We start from the raw sequence: 16981 nt of genomic DNA, 5'->3' as shown, positions 1-16981 counted from the left end.
TCAATGAGCAACTACTAATTTTAAAGAACTTCACGAAAAAGATGTTATAAAAAAATTGAAAATTATAGAAGTGACAAATACAGTAACCGAAATTAGAAGGAAAAAAACTCACTGAATAGGCTCATCTATCAAGTTGCTGTGTGCATCATAGTTGTTTTTGTTTATTTGTTTGTTTTATTGGTAAGTAATATTCTGTGCTATAGATGTACCACAGTTTGTTTAAATATTCATTTATTGGAGAATACTTTAGTTGTTTCCAACTTTAGATTATCATTAATACAATAAAACTGGTATAGTCATTCCTGTATAGGTTTTTCTATGAAGTTACGTTTTCTTTTTTTTGGAATAAGTGCTCAAGAGCAAAACTGCTGGGTAACATGGTGATGTCATGTTAAGTTTTGTAAGAAACTGTCATATACCTTTCCTGTTGGGAGTACCATTTGACAAGCCCACCAGCAATCTAAGAGTGCTACAATTTCTCTGCATTCTCAACAGCATTTGTTGTTATCATTGTGTTAATTTTTAAGGTATTTATGGATTATTATAATGCGCATGATCACATTGGTGTTTACATCTGTATTTCCCTGATGGCTGTTATTGCTGGACATCTTTTTATGTGCCAATTTTCTATTTTTGTATCACCTTCATTGAAATGTGTATTCATGCCTGCTGCCCATTTTCTTTCCTTTTTTGATGTTTGCAGGGTCAGGTTTTAATTAACTTGACCACAAAGCACAGGTTTCCAGGTTCATATAAATACATTTTTATTTTATAATTACTTTTTCCTTCTCTTAAACATTTTGGACAGGGTTGACAGGACAAAATCTTTCCTGTTTGAGCAAGAACTTTCTTAAAAGTACCTTGTTGTCTTTTTCTTAATAGTTGATCACATATTTATATATGCACACTCGTATGTATAGTATTTTCTATATATAGTATATATTCTCATATATATATACCATATATACTCTATACTACATATATTTCTATATATATATACTATATACTATACATACATAGTATTTTCTATATTTACTGTGTTTGTGTGTGTGTGTGTGTGTGTGTGTGTGTGTAGTATTTTCTTCCTCCTACCCACCAACCACTAGCCTTGTTGCCTCTTAAATCTCAGCAATTTTTCTACAGTTAAATCATGCTTTTAATTTTAGTATTAACACAGGTCCACTTTGTTGGTTTCTCTAAATGGTATTTTTTTCTCTTATATGTTATTACAGTCCGTTTTGGCTGCATAATTCATGGCTACACTATTTAAATATGCATGAGGGAAATAATATTTTCCTGACTCACAAAGCCCTGGTTTCCCCAGTCCAGATAAGCTATTGTTGTACTATGTTTATAGCAGACATTACCATCAGGAGAATCTGGGTGAACGGTATAAGGCATCTCTCTATTTCTCACAGTTGCCTGTAAATCTACAATTATCGTGAAAAAATAAAATTCAAGCTACTTTGGGGTATTGTTTTAGTGCTGATACTTGACAAAATAATAAAAAATAACATAAAAAGAATATAATACTGATGTATGCAACAACATTGATGACACTCAAAATTATGCTGAATGGAAGAGGCTAGATAAAATTAAGTACATAATCTGATCCCATTAATATGCAACGCTAGAATTGTAAACTAACCTGTAGAGGCAGAAGGCAGATCAGTGATTGGGAATTGGGAATTGGGAAGAAGTGGGAGGAAAAAACACAAGGTGGCAAAAAAAAAAAAAAAAAAGAAAAGAAAAGAAAACACCTGATGCAGTCATGGATAGTGTTCTTATTTGAATTGTGGTGATGTTTTCACAGGTGTATATGTGCCGACTCTAATTAATTGTATATTATAGTCAGGTATATCTGAATAAAGCTGTTTAAAAAAAACCAAAAGATGCCAGACACTAGGACCAAAGTGTGAAGTATTTGAAGAAAAAAAGTCTTCTACCTTTGACCTAATTAGTGTATTTAAAACCAAATGGGGAATGCTTTTTAATGCCCCCTACTCATTAGAACACATTTTCAGTGATAACCATAAATTAAAACAAGAAATAATAAGGATTAATAAAGAAATATGGTGTGTTTCCAGTGAGCATTACATATATGTATATACACACATATATATGTATATATACACATATATATACATATATGTATGTATATACACACACACGTGTATGTATACATATATGTATGTATATACACACACACGTGTATGTATACATATATGTATGTATATACACACACACGTGTATGTATACATATATGTATGTATATACACACACACGTGTATGTATACATATATGTATGTATATACACACACACGTGTATGTATACATATATGTATGTATATACACACACACGTGTATGTATACATATATGTATGTATATACACACACACGTGTATGTATACATATATGTATGTATATACACACACACGTGTATGTATACATATATGTATGTATATACACACACACGTGTATGTATACATATATGTATGTATATACACACACGTGTATGTATACATATATGTATGTATATACACACACGTGTATGTATACATATATGTATGTATATACACACACACGTGTATGTATACATATATGTATGTATATACACACACACGTGTATGTATACATATATACATGTATATGTATACATACGTGTATGTATACATATATACATGTATATGTATACATATATACATATATACATGTATATGTATACATATATACATGTATACATATATACATGTATATGTATACATATATACATGTATACATATATACATGTATATGTATACATATATACATGTATACATATATACACATAATATATATGTATATATACACATAAATACACATATATGTATGTGTATATACACATACATGTATGTGTATATACACATACATGTATGTATATACACACATATATATGTATGTATATACACATATATATGTGTATATACATACATATACATGTGTGTATATCAGGTAAAGATAATCAGGTAAAAATATCTGTACATAACATGCAAGCATAAGAAGATTTTGAAATGTAGAAAGAAGAATGTGGCAGAATACAAAGGGGACTTTGAGACTTCAGGAACTACATGGCACTTATTTCCATGAGTTTTCTAATTAGCTTTCATATGTCTTAAAAGAGTACTACAGCAGTCTCCAGTCTGGTACCAGCAACAGGCACAGGCTAAAAGAAAAATCTTGACGAAAAACCTATTTGCCTTAACCAGAAGACCAGAAAAAGGATGGCCCAACATAGCAGAAAACATTTTGCAACACCCATCCTATTCCCACCAAACACCAGAGAAAAAGCTTCTCTTCCAGACACACAATTTCAGTGAGGCCAAGAAGGCAGCTAATCTTGCACACAGCCCTGGACCCCACCAATATAGTCTGGATATTTGTTCCACCCAAATATCATGTTGGGATGTAATCCCAAGTGTTGGAGGTGGGGCCAAGTAGGAGCGTGTGAGTCATGGGGCCAGATTCCTCATGGTTGGATGCTATCCTCTTGATAGCGAGTGAGTTTGCATGAGATCCGATAGTTTAAAAGTATGCAGCACCTCCCACCTCCTCTCTTGCTCCTGCTTTCACCATGTGATGTGCCTGCTCCTGCTTCACCTTTTATCGTTAGTAAAACCTTCCTGAGGCCTCCCCAGAAGCCAAACAGGTGTCAGCACCATGCTTCCTGTACAGCCTGCAGAATCATAAACCAATCAAACCTCTTTTTAAAATAAATTACCCACCCTCAGGTATTTCTTCATAGCAATGCAAGAATGGCCCAATATACATCCCAAATCAAGATGTGACATTTTTGTCTTGATAGTGTTACTGAAACCCAGGGGCAGTAGATCTTGCATTTCCTGGCTGGTAGAAGTGGGTTCTACCACAATTCTCCCAACGACAGAGTTGTGTATGTAATGGCAATAGTACTCAGAGGCTAGATGAGCTTCTAAACTCACATAGTAGCAATCAGACTTCATGAAGCTGTGCAAGGCAGTGTTATTCACCACTATACTTCACCACCACTCATTTCTGTTAGTGGGGACTAGCGGAGAGCTGAGCTTCTACTCCCACCACACGTCAATGAAACTGAACAAAACAGTTGACTTGTTCGCTTTCTAATCATCCCTGGTGTTAGTGGAACCCACTGGGGAGCTGAACTGCTGTACCTGCCTGATATCAGTGAGGTCAGAATGGGGTGTTAAAAGGTGGGGTTTATTAGCACTCCACTTTCTTCCTTCCCCTCCCTTGGTGTCAGCTGTGTTCACTAGAGTGTTTAGCTTCCACACCCAAAAAGCAGCAACAAAGCAATGAGAGTCAGCCCTTTACTTATCTCCTTCTTGGGGACAGAAGGACACATCAGGGAGCTGACCTTACATTCCTATTTGGAGGCAAGGTGGTGGTATGTGTTAGTGACCTACTTTCACTGAGATGATATCAGCAAGGCTGAGCAGAGAGCTGAGCCTTTCCTCCATGTGTCTTTAATAAGACAGTGGGAGTCAGCATTCGAATTTGGTCAGAGTGGTGTTGGTAGGGCCCATCCAATAATTGAACAGGCACAAAATCAACAGAGGACAACATAACATGAATCATATGTTGAGGCTAACTGACAACTTTAAATCAGCTGTTACAAAAATACCTCAACAAACAGCTACTAATTTTAAAGAACTCCACAAAAAGATGTTATAAAAAACAAATGAAAATTATAGAAGTGAAAAATACCATAACTGAAATTAGAAAAAAAAAAATAAAAACCTCACTGAATGGGCTCATCCAGAGTCAAGATGACAAGGAAAGGATCAGTGAACTTGAGGACAGATCAATAGTATTTACCCAATCGGAGAAACAGAAAGAAAACAAATTGAAAACAAAAATGAAAAGCTACTCAGCACCCTGTGGGATAACAAAAAAAAACGAAATTTATATCATCAGTATCTCAAAAAGAGATCAGAGACAAAGTGGAACCAAAAAAGTGTTTAAAGAAATAATGCATATATCCTCTCAAATGTACAGGGACACATAAACCTACAGATTCAGGAGCCTGGGAGAAGTCCAAATAGAACAAACGCACACAAAAACATGCCAAGACATATCATAGTTTACGGTTTCAAATCTATAGACAAATAAAAAATCTTCAGAGCAGCCAGAGACAAAAGACACATTATTATGGGAACCCAGACATTTGAATGACAATGAATTTCTCTTCTAAAACTCTGAAGGCCAGTTTGAAGTGGAACTGGGCATTTCAGGTGTTGTAAAAATTGCCAAGTAGAAATTCTGTTTCCAGCAAAAATATTCTTCTAGAATAAAGGGGAATATAAGATATTGTCAGATGAGGAAAAACTATATGTTTTTGCTAGCAAATGCATTCTTAAAGATTGGCTAAAGGAAGATCTATAAAATAGAAAATGATAAAAGAAGGCTGGGAACTTCAAAAAGAAAAAACATCAGCATAAATTAAAATGGGCATAAATATCATATAATATCCTTGCCTTTGAGAGTTTCTTTAGTTATATTTTATGGTGAAGCAAAAATTAAAACAATATTTCACATATTGCTCAATGTATATAAAGACTTCATATGATTATATTTTTAATGTTGGAGGATAAACAGATGTAAATCAAGTAAGGATTTTACACTTCACTCAAAGTGGTAAAATGTTGATACCTGTAGACTGTGATTAACTACATATTGTAATATCTAGTGTAACAACTAAGAAAACTATACAATGTGCTATACTCAAAAACACTGTAAGTCAGTCAAGATACAACTCTAAAAAAAATCAGGTAAGTCTCAGGAAGGTATGCAAAGAAAAATGGAAGAATGACAAGCAGGAAACATAAACAGAAAGCAAATAAATAAAATGACACAATTTAGCTTTACTATCAATATAAATAATTACCTTAAAAGTAAATAGTCTTTGTATAGTAATTAAAATACATAAACAGTGTGGATGAAAAATGATTCAACAATATGCTGTCTGGCCTAACACGTTAGCTCATGCCTGTAATTCCAGCACTTTGGGAGGCCAAGGCAGGCGGATCACTTGAGGTCAAGAGTTCAAGACCAGCCTGGCCAGCATGGTGAAACTCATCTCTACTAAAAATACAAAAATTAACCAGGCGTGGTGGTGGGTGCCTGTAGTCTCAGCTATTTGAGAGGCTGAGGCAGGAGAATTGCTTGAACCCAGGAGGCGAAGGCTGCAGTGAGCTGAGATTGGGCCACTGCACTCCAGCCTGGGCAAAAGAATCTCACGTCTGTCTCAAAGAAAAAAAAAAAATATGTATGCTGTCAAAAATAAACACACTATGTGACATTGATAGAATGAAAGTAAAATAATGGAAAATATATGCCTTGAATATATTAATTTTAAAAAGCAAGAGTGACTAGCAATTGGATAAGAAGAAGAAAGGAAAGGTATCCAAATAGGAAAGGAAAAAGTAAGAGTATCTTTCTTCTAAGACTACACGATCTTGTATATGGAGAACATTAAAAATGCCACACAAAAACTCTTCTGGAATGAATCAACAAATTCAGTGAAGTTGCAGAACATAAAATCAGCTTGAAAAAATTAGGTGCATTTCTCTATGTCAATAATCAACAATAAGAAAAAGAAATTAAGGAAACAATTCCATTTCATAATAGCATGAAAAAAATACTTAGAAATAAACTTCACCAAGGAGGCAAAATACTTTTACACTGAAAACTGCAAAATATTGACCCCCCAAATTAAGGAAGACACAAATAAATGGAAAGACATTCATGTTCATGAGTTGAATAATTAATGTTGTTAAGCTGGAAATGCCAGCAAAAGAGATCTACAAATTTAATGTAATTCCTATCAAATTTTCCAATGATTTTTTAAATACCAAATTTATTCTAAAATTTATATGGAATCTAAAGGGATCCTTAATAGTCAGACCAATTTTGAGAAAAACAAAGCTGGAGACGTCACACTTCCTCATGTTAAAACTTATTACAGAGTTACAGTAATTTAACAGTGTGGTATTGGCATAAAGGAAGTCTTATAGACCAGTGAAATGGAATAGAAAGGCCAGAAATAAACTTTCATATATATGGTCAAGTTATTTTTGACAAGGGTGCTAAGACCTCTTAATGGGGAAAGACAGTCTTTTCAATAAATGATGTTGAGAAAGTTGGATATTCACATGCAAAAGAATGAAGTTGGACCCTTACTATATAAAAAAATCAATTGAAAATTGATGAAAGACTTAAATGTATGTGCTAAAACTGTAAGCCCCTTAGAAGAAAAGCTTCATGTTATTAGATATGAATTTTTTTGCTATTCCACAAAAATAAAGGACAACAAAAAAATAGATAAATTTGAGTGTATGACAATTAAGAACCTTAAGTGCATCAAGGAATGCAATCAACAGAGCCAAAGACAACCTGCTGTATAGGGGAAAAATTTGCAAAGCATATAACTGATGAGGGGTTAATATCCGGAATATGAAAAGAACTCCAACTTAACGATGAAATACAACCTAACTTAAAAACAGGCAAAGGAATTAAATAGACATTTCCGGAAAGAAAATATACAAACAACCAACAAACACATTAAAAGATTCTGAACAGTACCAATTATTAAGTAAATACAAATAAAAATCACAATGAGATACCACTTTATAACCATTAGGATTGCTACTATCAAAGTAACAGAAAATTAAAAGTGCTGACAAAGAAGTAGAAAAACCGGAACCTTTTGCGCATTGTTGGTAGTAATGTCAAATGGTGTGGCAACTATGAAAAATGGTATGGTAGTTCCTCAAAAAGTAAAAATAGAATTCTCACATGAGCCAGCAATTCCTCTTCTGGGTATATACTCAACACAATTAAAAGCAGAGTCTTGAAGATATATCAGTACACCCATGTTCATAGCAACCTTACTCACAATAGGCAAAAAGGAGAAGCAACCCAAGGGTTCATCAATAGATCGGCAAATTGAAGTATATACATACAATAAAATATTATTAAGCCTTTTCAAAGAATAAAATTCTGGCATTATACATAAATGAACCTTGAGAGCATTATGCTAGATAAAATAAGCCAGTCATAAAAAGACACATACTGTAAAATTATAATTATATGAGGTAGCTAGAGTAGTTAAATTCAAAGAGGCAAAAAGTAGAATGGTTTTTGTCAGGGTCTAGAAGAGGAGGAAGTGAGGAGTTGTGCAATGGGTATAGAGTTTCAGTTTTGCAATGTGACAATAGTTCTTGGATTCGTTGTGTGAATATACTTAACACAACTGAACTGTACAATATTGTACAATAAAAATTGGTTCAGATAGAAATTTGATGTTAGGTGTATTTTACCACGATTAAAAATAGAAAGTAGGAATAGTTATATTAATGTGGTATAAAGTAGAGATCACAGCAAGGACAGTAAATAAAGGCAAAGAAGGACTTTACATGATTATGCAAGTATCAATCCACCACAAATATATACCTATACTGACTGTGTATCAACGAAACAATAGCGCTTTCAAATACATGAAGCAAAAACTAATAGAGATGAATGAAGAAATAGACTTATTTACAATTATAGTTGGATTTAAACACTCAGCAACTGACAGAACTTCTAGACATAATATCCTCAATAATAGAATAACTGAATAATGCAACAATCAACAGTATCTAATTGACACATATAGAATAGTTCATTAAACAACAGCAGAATATATATTTATTGCATGTGTCCACAGAACGTGTACCAAGATAGACCATGTGATGGACTACAAAACAAACCTTACCAAACTTAAAATAATTGAAATTGTTGATAAATAATTAAAAGAATTGAAATGTGTTGTGTAGACAACACATTGTATGACCAAAATGGAATCAAAGGAGCAACTATAACAAAATACAAAAAAACTAAACAATTGGAAATTAAATTATGCATTTCTAAATAATTCATAATAATTCATGGGTGAAGAAGTAGTCTCAAGGGAAATAAAAAAATATGTGAACTAAATAAAAATGAAAATATACATGTTAAAACATGTGGAATACAGCTAACATTATACTGAGAGAGAAATTTATACCATTAAATGCTTACATTAGAAACAAGGAAATGTCTGAAATTAGAGACCTAATTTCTTACCTAAAGAATATAGAAAGGAAGAGAAAAATAAACCCAAAGCAAACAGAAGGAAGTAAATCATAACGATAAAAACAAAAATCAATGAAATTAAAAGCAGGAATAAAATAGGAAAATCAATTAAACAGAAAGCTATTTCTTTAAAACCGTCAACAAAATTGATAAAACTTAAGCACAACTGACAGCTTAAAAAAAAGAAGACAACAAATAAACAATATCAGGGACGAAAAAGGACATAGCATTACAGATTTTTCAGGCATTAAATGGATAAGAGAATACTGTGAACAACCGTATGCTCATAAATTCAAAAATATAGAAAAAATTGATCAATTCGTTAGAAAAACACAAACTACCAAAAATAAATTTAATAAAATTATATAGGTGATATAATTAGTCCTGCAACTAACAAAGAGAATGAATTTGTAATTTAATAAGTCTCTTGTCTGTCACCATGTGAGATGTGCCTTTCAACTTGCGCCATAATTGTGAGGCACCCAGCCATGTGGAACTGTAAGCTTATTAAACCGCTTTATTTTCTAAATTTCTCAGTCTTGGGTGTGTCTTCATGAGCAGCATGAAAATGGACCAATACAGTAAACTGGTACCAGAGACACCCTGATTTTTCAGTTCCAACCTTTAGAGCTGTGATAAATAAATGTCTATTGTTTAAGCTACCCAGTCTATAGGATTCTTTTATAGCAGCCTGAAATGACTAAGACAATTATATATGTCTATTACCTAGAAATTCTGTTCCTGAACATACACCTTAAAGAAATATAGGCAGAATTCCACAAAGGGTCATGAGCTACTAACGAGGCTCATAGCAGCATCATTAGTAGCAGTAAGGAACAGCATCAACATAGGTTACACTTAAAGGGGGAAGAAAATGAACAAGCACGATGCAACATTAAAAGCAATGAACAAGAGATGCATATAGCAGCTTAAGTCAAATGTTACACTTTCACACATGCACGTATTTAACAAAGCCATATGTTTAACAAGAATAAAAACATAGGAAAGCAAATCATTCAAACACATCAGGTGTGTCACATGCAGGTGTCTTTTGGTGGGAAAGAAATTAGTAAGAGAAACTAGGAAGGTAGAAAGAAAAATCCAATAAAATAGAGAAATAACCTTTCAAAAATCAATAATGATAATGTGGTCAGAGCCCAAGAATAGGATAAAAGTAAAGATAAAAGCAACCTTCATAAATAGACAGTTAATTCTAATCCCTTTCTATCAATTGCAGGGCTAGCAGAAATTAATGAAAATAAGCTGCCTTTAATGCCAAATGTGATAGGTAGAAAGATGTTTATTTGTGGGAACTGTCTTTTGTTTGTAGAATTACTCACCTCTCCACTGACATTGAAAGACAGCCATATTGTTTTTAGTGGGATTTTAGGTAAAATATCAAAAATAACAGCTAATGACTTAGGGAGGGAGACTTCAGAATAAACCAATGAGTAGGTGTGGCCTTGGGGAATAGATTAAAGGAAACTGTCTGCTATGTGGGCCACCACAATTGAACATGGGTATATGAGGAGGGGTGGTAGTTCATGATGGGAAGGCATAGAAGAGGCTGTCATAGAGAAGCCTCTTTTCTACCACCAGGCTATCCTTGCCTTTATATCACCCCCCCACCATCCAAAACAGAGGTGGCAGGAGTGGTACATTCTGATGACTAAGACTCCCCAGGTACCTCCCCACCCCTCTCTCACATAGAAGTGACAAGAGTAGTGCTTTGTGACGTCTTAGTGTCCCTTAGCTCTCATTGGCTGGGCGAGTGCCTTGCTGACCAATCAAAGTTGAAGGGTGTGGCCCCTCATTGTGCTGGGAGGGGTATACATAGGATGATCAGGAGCTGTGAGCAGACCACTGGGACAATTCAGTATGGCAAAGGTGACCAGTGAGCCACAGAAGCCTAATGAAGATGTGGACGAACAGACCCCATCAACCTCAAGTACCAAAGGGAGGAAGAAGGGGAAGACACCCCGTCAACGAAGGTCCAGAAGCGGCGTTAAGGTGAGATGATCCCGACCAAACCCCTTCTCTTTGCCCCACTGATTCCGCCACCCCAAGACTCCTATCCTTTCCTTGCCTCACTCAAACCCCCTCCTCAACTCACACCCTTCTCATGAAGCCTATTCCTATGCATTTCCCACCTTCTTTCCCAAAACCAACGCCCTCTGGCCTGACTGTGATCTCCCTGTAGGGCCTAAAGACCACCAGGAAGGCGAAAAGACCCCTTCGAGGGAGCTCGAGCCAAAAAGCCGGTGAAACTAACACCCCTGCAGGAAAACCTAAGAAAGCTAGAGGACCAATACTGCGTGGTCGTTATCACCGGCTGAAAGAAAAAATGAAGAAAGAAGAGGCCGACAAAGAGCAAAGCGAGACCTCAGTTCTGTGATGTCTCTAGAGGTCCGCCACTGAAAAGTCATCAATCATACAGTCAGTGAATTCTACACCAACAGGTTAAAACCATGAAAATAAAATCAACCTGAATCGAAAGGATATGTCTCTGTGACTTCTCTGATGGTGAGGAAGGAAGGAGTGAGGGGAAGAGGGAGGTGTGTGTGAGAAGGCAGGGAGGTGGCTTCTGTGGGGTTTGAGGCCAGACCAACAGGTCCACAGCTGGAAACTGGGGGGATAAGGACTGGCTCAGGACTAAGCACTGAAGATAAATTTCCTGAACACTTTTTAATACACAAAGAGTGAAAGGGGTTGGTGTTTCTACCTGTGTGTGTTTTGGTGGGGAAAGAGGGATGTGACTTCAGTGTATTGATTGTCAGAACCTGTATGGGGTGAGGTGTGTGGGTGGCAGTACTATCCCCAAAAACAGACAAGAGATAACCTGCAGGCCATCTACCTCATAATGGTAGGTATGAGGTACACCCCACCCTATGATATAAGCAACTAAATGCCCTTCAAAGGGCCAAATATCTCTAAAAGTTACCAGCAGCACCTGAAATAATGGTTACTAGATGCCACAAATCCAACACTGACTAGCCCACCTTCTTAAAAAGCTTAGGGCGGGGCAGGGCAATGGGAGTGGTCTACCTCTAGTGCGGGCAGTGAATGAGAGCATTGTCTACAGAGAATTTTAAAACAAGATAGCTCTCTCTCTCCGTCTTTTATTTTTATTTTTCCAAAGTTGTTTTTATCCCTAAAGAGAATATCATTTTTCAACAGCTTTACTGAAGTATAATTGACATATGACAAACTGCACATGCTTAAAAAGTATACAGTTTGATGAGTTTTGTCACATCTGCTCTTGTTAAACCATCACAACTATAAGAGTGAACATACCCATTACCCCCTAAAGTTTTCTCATGCCGTTTGGCAATTCTTCCCTGTCCCTACCTCCACCATCATTCTCAAAAAAACCCGCTGATTTGCTTTCTGTCACTATCTGTTTCTATTTTCTGGAGGTTTGTAAGAATGGAATCATAAGATATGTACTCTTTATTTTTTTCTAGTCCAGCTTCTTAGAACAACTATCTTTCCTTCCCAAAGATATTTTGTTTTGTTGGTCTGCTTTTTAAAAGATTGCTGTGGTCAATACGTTTTAATCATGTGTCTACGGGAGTGGTCTTAAAACAGCACAATTTCTCATTATATTTTAATGAATACTTATTGTATTCTACAAGGAAATTCATGCAGATAATTTCCTGTTATACCATTGGCCTCAGGTATCACCTGACTCAGTTGTTGCTGTTTCTTTCTAAAGCAAGCTCCTAAGGATGTGGTATTTCTTGCAGTGCACTTTGGGCCATAAGCCATGGTCCTGTATGACACACATACACCAGCATTTAAACAATATTTCTAAAACAATAATAGTACAGTCATTGATTTTAAAATAAAGGAATAAATAATCTGAGTTTTTCCTGTGCTGTCATTCCATGTGACCACTTGTTTGGATGATGCCTAAGTTAATAAAACAAAGTATGAATGGCAAGGTATAAATGTTTGAGAAGTTCAAATCTTTACTTCATTTCAACAAAAAATACTTTGTAAAATTGAACTATATCTCTAAAAGTAAAATTTATTCTTCTTTAATTGTTTAATAGTTATTTTAGAACTACAGACCAATTCAAGGAAATCAAATGTTACATATGTGGATAATTTATTAATTGACTAATTTGTCCCTTCTGCATAATTTTTGGTTTTCTTAAAGTACCATTTTATATGTTACTTTATATATGTGTATATACACATATATATGTATATATATACACATATATACACGTGTATATATGTATGTACACATATATGTATATACACACATATATACACACATATATGTACACATATATGTGTACATATGTGTGTGTATATATGTGTGTATATACATATATGTGTATATACGTATATACACATGTGTATATACGTATATACACACATATATGTGTACATATATGTGTGTATATATGTGTGTATATACATATATGTGTACATACATATATACACGTGTATATATGTGTATATATATACATATATATGTGTATATACACATATATAAAGTAACATATAAAATGGTACTTTAAGAAAACCAAAAATTATGCAGAAGGGACAAATTAGTCAATTAATAAATTATCCACATATGTAACATTTGATTTCCTTGAATTGGTCTGTAGTTCTAAAATAACTATTAAACAATTAAAGAAGAATAAATTTTACTTTTAGAGATATAGTTCAATTTTACAAAGTATTTTTTGTTGAAATGAAGTAAAGATTTGAACTTCTCAAACATTTATACCTTGCCATTCATACTTTGTTTTATTAACTTAGGCATCATCCAAACAAGTGGTCACATGGAATGACAGCACAGGAAAAACTCAGATTATTTATTCCTTTATTTTAAAATCAATGACTGTACTATTATTGTTTTAGAAATATTGTTTAAATGCTGGTGTATGTGTGTCATACAGGACCATGGCTTATGGCCCAAAGTGCACTGCAAGAAATACCACATCCTTAGGAGCTTGCTTTAGAAAGAAACAGCAACAACTGAGTCAGGTGATACCTGAGGCCAATGGTATAACAGGAAATTATCTGCATGAATTTCCTTGTAGAATACAATAAGTATTCATTAAAATATAATGAGAAATTGTGCTGTTTTAAGACCACTCCCGTAGACACATGATTAAAACGTATTGACCACAGCAATCTTTTAAAAAGCAGACCAACAAAACAAAATATCTTTGGGAAGGAAAGATAGTTGTTCTAAGAAGCTGGACTAGAAAAAAATAAAGAGTACATATCTTATGATTCCATTCTTACAAACCTCCAGAAAATAGAAACAGATAGTGACAGAAAGCAAATCAGCGGGTTTTTTTGAGAATGATGGTGGAGGTAGGGACAGGGAAGAATTGCCAAACGGCATGAGAAAACTTTAGGGGGTAATGGGTATGTTCACTCTTATAGTTGTGATGGTTTAACAAGAGCAGATGTGACAAAACTCATCAAACTGTATACTTTTTAAGCATGTGCAGTTTGTCATATGTCAATTATACTTCAGTAAAGCTGTTGAAAAATGATATTCTCTTTAGGGATAAAAACAACTTTGGAAAAATAAAAATAAAAGACGGAGAGAGAGAGCTATCTTGTTTTAAAATTCTCTGTAGACAATGCTCTCATTCACTGCCCGCACTAGAGGTAGACCACTCCCATTGCCCTGCCCCGCCCTAAGCTTTTTAAGAAGGTGGGCTAGTCAGTGTTGGATTTGTGGCATCTAGTAACCATTATTTCAGGTGCTGCTGGTAACTTTTAGAGATATTTGGCCCTTTGAAGGGCATTTAGTTGCTTATATCATAGGGTGGGGTGTACCTCATACCTACCATTATGAGGTAGATGGCCTGCAGGTTATCTCTTGTCTGTTTTTGGGGATAGTACTGCCACCCACACACCTCACCCCATACAGGTTCTGACAATCAATACACTGAAGTCACATCCCTCTTTCCCCACCAAAACACACACAGGTAGAAACACCAACCCCTTTCACTCTTTGTGTATTAAAAAGTGTTCAGGAAATTTATCTTCAGTGCTTAGTCCTGAGCCAGTCCTTATCCCCCCAGTTTCCAGCTGTGGACCTGTTGGTCTGGCCTCAAACCCCACAGAAGCCACCTCCCTGCCTTCTCACACACACCTCCCTCTTCCCCTCACTCCTTCCTTCCTCACCATCAGAGAAGTCACAGAGACATATCCTTTCGATTCAGGTTGATTTTATTTTCATGGTTTTAACCTGTTGGTGTAGAATTCACTGACTGTATGATTGATGACTTTTCAGTGGCGGACCTCTAGAGACATCACAGAACTGAGGTCTCGCTTTGCTCTTTGTCGGCCTCTTCTTTCTTCATTTTTTCTTTCAGCCGGTGATAACGACCACGCAGTATTGGTCCTCTAGCTTTCTTAGGTTTTCCTGCAGGGGTGTTAGTTTCACCGGCTTTTTGGCTCGAGCTCCCTCGAAGGGGTCTTTTCGCCTTCCTGGTGGTCTTTAGGCCCTACAGGGAGATCACAGTCAGGCCAGAGGGCGTTGGTTTTGGGAAAGAAGGTGGGAAATGCATAGGAATAGGCTTCATGAGAAGGGTGTGAGTTGAGGAGGGGGTTTGAGTGAGGCAAGGAAAGGATAGGAGTCTTGGGGTGGCGGAATCAGTGGGGCAAAGAGAAGGGGTTTGGTCGGGATCATCTCACCTTAACGCCGCTTCTGGACCTTCGTTGACGGGGTGTCTTCCCCTTCTTCCTCCCTTTGGTACTTGAGGTTGATGGGGTCTGTTCGTCCACATCTTCATTAGGCTTCTGTGGCTCACTGGTCACCTTTGCCATACTGAATTGTCCCAGTGGTCTGCTCACAGCTCCTGATCATCCTATGTATACCCCTCCCAGCACAATGAGGGGCCACACCCTTCAACTTTGATTGGTCAGCAAGGCACTCGCCCAGCCAATGAGAGCTAAGGGACACTAAGACGTCACAAAGCACTACTCTTGTCACTTCTATGTGAGAGAGGGGTGGGGAGGTACCTGGGGAGTCTTAGTCATCAGAATGTACCACTCCTGCCACCTCTGTTTTGGATGGTGGGGGGGTGATATAAAGGCAAGGATAGCCTGGTGGTAGAAAAGAGGCTTCTCTATGACAGCCTCTTCTATGCCTTCCCATCATGAACTACCACCCCTCCTCATATACCCATGTTCAATTGTGGTGGCCCACATAGCAGACAGTTTCCTTTAATCTATTCCCCAAGGCCACACCTACTCATTGGTTTATTCTGAAGTCTCCCTCCCTAAGTCATTAGCTGTTATTTTTGATATTTTACCTAAAATCCCACTAAAAACAATATGGCTGTCTTTCAATGTCAGTGGAGAGGTGAGTAATTCTACAAACAAAAGACAGTTCCCACAAATAAACATCTTTCTACCTATCACATTTGGCATTAAAGGCAGCTTATTTTCATTAATTTCTGCTAGCCCTGCAATTGATAGAAAGGGATTAGAATTAACTGTCTATTTATGAAGGTTGCTTTTATCTTTACTTTTATCCTATTCTTGGGCTCTGACCACATTATCATTATTGATTTTTGAAAGGTTATTTCTCTATTTTATTGGATTTTTCTTTCTACCTTCCTAGTTTCTCTTACTAATTTCTTTCCCACCAAAAGACACCTGCATGTGACACACCTGATGTGTTTGAATGATTTGCTTTCCTATGTTTTTATTCTTGTTAAACATATGGCTTTGTTAAATACGTGCATGTGTGAAAGTGTAACATTTGACTTAAGCTGCTATATGCATCTCTTGTTCATTGCTTTTAATGTTGCATCGTGCTTGTTCATTTTCTTCCCCCTTTAAG

At 36.0% G+C, this 16981-nt stretch overlaps 2 protein-coding genes across 2 annotated transcripts; one reads left to right on the top strand and one right to left on the bottom strand.

Annotated features, from left to right (window-relative positions):
- The first annotated feature begins 11007 nt into the window (after window positions 1-11007).
- Window positions 11008-11646, top strand: CXorf51A (chromosome X open reading frame 51A). The gene is made up of 2 exons (NM_001144064.3): window positions 11008-11160; window positions 11351-11646. Exons 1-2 carry the CDS (start codon window positions 11029-11031, stop codon window positions 11543-11545), a joined length of 327 nt encoding a protein of 108 aa, NP_001137536.1. The 5' UTR covers window positions 11008-11028; the 3' UTR covers window positions 11546-11646.
- A 3694-nt stretch (window positions 11647-15340) lies between these two features.
- CXorf51B (chromosome X open reading frame 51B) lies at window positions 15341-15981 on the bottom strand. Its single transcript, NM_001244892.2, has 2 exons — window positions 15829-15981; window positions 15341-15638 (listed from the first exon to the last, which is right to left on the bottom strand). Exons 1-2 carry the CDS (start codon window positions 15958-15960, stop codon window positions 15444-15446), a joined length of 327 nt encoding a protein of 108 aa, NP_001231821.1. The 5' UTR covers window positions 15961-15981; the 3' UTR covers window positions 15341-15443.
- Window positions 15982-16981: the final 1000 nt, after the last annotated feature.

Source organism: Homo sapiens, chromosome X, assembly GCF_000001405.40.
Source record: "Homo sapiens chromosome X, GRCh38.p14 Primary Assembly".
In the NCBI taxonomy this organism is placed as follows: domain Eukaryota; kingdom Metazoa; phylum Chordata; class Mammalia; order Primates; family Hominidae; genus Homo; species Homo sapiens.
This window is presented reverse-complemented; position numbering and strand designations above follow the sequence as displayed.

Coding starts and splice junctions, on each gene's coding strand:
- CXorf51A (NM_001144064.3), top strand. CDS start 11,029: ATGGCAAAGGTGACCAGTGAGCCACAGAAGCCTAATGAAGATGTGGAC. Junction 11,161..11,350: donor GGTCCAGAAGCGGCGTTAAG/GTGAGATGATCC, acceptor ATCTCCCTGTAG/GGCCTAAAGACCACCAGGAA.
- CXorf51B (NM_001244892.2), bottom strand. CDS start 15,960: ATGGCAAAGGTGACCAGTGAGCCACAGAAGCCTAATGAAGATGTGGAC. Junction 15,639..15,828: donor GGTCCAGAAGCGGCGTTAAG/GTGAGATGATCC, acceptor ATCTCCCTGTAG/GGCCTAAAGACCACCAGGAA.